The sequence below is a fragment of the Homo sapiens genome, chromosome 1 (assembly GCF_000001405.40).
Source record: "Homo sapiens chromosome 1, GRCh38.p14 Primary Assembly".
NCBI classification, from domain to species: Eukaryota; Metazoa; Chordata; class Mammalia; order Primates; family Hominidae; genus Homo; species Homo sapiens.
In genome coordinates, this window is record NC_000001.11 from 112,040,606 (window position 1) to 112,041,971 (window position 1,366).

General features: G+C 49.3%; 1 annotated feature.

Moving 5' to 3' along the window:
- Positions 362-531: an enhancer, noted in NCBI's record as "active region_1510". NCBI's record gives its function as "activates an Ori minimal core promoter by ATAC-STARR-seq in GM12878 lymphoblastoid cells {active_cell/tissue: GM12878}" and the evidence as "EXISTENCE:reporter gene assay evidence [ECO:0000049][PMID:35858748]".

The window sequence follows — 1,366 nt, forward strand, 5'->3', positions numbered from 1 at the left end:
TTATATCCTGGAGGCTCTTCACTGTTTTCTCTGCCTGGAAAACTTTTGCTCTAGTTCATCACAGGACCAGTTCCTTCTCTGAGATCAACCCAAATGTCACAGCTATTCTACCTAGAGAAGACTCCCATCACTATTCTGTTCCCTCTGCAGTTCCTCTCTATCACAGGGCCTTGTTTAATTTCCTTCCTTACACTTATTAGAAATTCTGAGTATGTGATATGGCCAGTTAGGGTCTCTGGGAAGCCAGTTCTGAGCTGGAGTTTAGCTGGTAGGTTGTGTGTTGAAGAGGATCCTAGAGTCAACACCCTGGCCAAGGGAGGGAGAGGACACAGGAATAGGCAGGGGGAGGTCAGTCTTCCATGCAGCACTGACGGCAGCCTTGGCAGACCCCACAGGAAACTCGAGATAAAACATCCTATGTTGGCTTGAAATGACTGGGCTTTTACACCCTGTCTCCTTCAGTCATTGGATGGGGCCATTCTCAGAAGGGCATGACCTTGAGCAAGGCAGCTGTCTTCACCCAGCGTTAGACGTCCTCCCAGTTTCTACAGAACTTTTGCTTACTTCTGCATTTTGTCAAAACTTTTTTTAAAAAAATTCTGAGGCCAAGAATAGATGTAAAAGTACGAAGAAACCCCCAGTTTGGGGGGATAATTAAAACCCTGGTTTCCTTTGTCGGTAATTGTTAGAATCTCTTGGCTCCAGGGCTTTCTTTCAAGTCCCCATCTCCACTAGCCTCATCTCTGGCCTCTGGCCAAGGTACAGAAGACAAACAGGACCTGGTTTCCCTCCAACTCACTGCCCCTCAGGCCTGGCCTTTGGTCTGACTGCTGCTTCTTTCTCTAACTCAGAGTCCTGCAGCATGTTATCCATAGCTTAGGGGAAGATCAGCACTGAGGGATAAGCCCCAGGCTCTCAGCTCCCAGGGGAGAGTTAGGGCCCCAGCTCCAGGAAATTCTCCTTTCTCTCTCTCTCCCCCGGCATATGGAGGCAATAAGGATTATACCCAAGCTCTGAGTAGTTACAGTGCTTATTGAGCAAAGGAGGGAGGAGAAAATCCTCTTTTCTTCCTCCCCCCTTCAAAGCTGATGAGAAATCAGAAAAGCCTGGTGCAGAAGCTCCTGGCCACCTTCTTCCTTTCTCATCTCTGTGGCACGCCTGGCCTCTCTCTTTAAATCTGTACTGGCAAGTGCCTCTGAACATCTTTCTGGTTACTCTCCAGGCCTCACCTCACCTTGGAACCTCCAGAGGAGTGTGTCAGATGATGTCCCAAGGGGTGAGATCACAGGCAGGTGACTTCTCAGTAGCCTGGATAGGATGAGAGAAGAGGCTGAGCCTGGGGCAGGACTGTGGCAGAAGTCAGGCT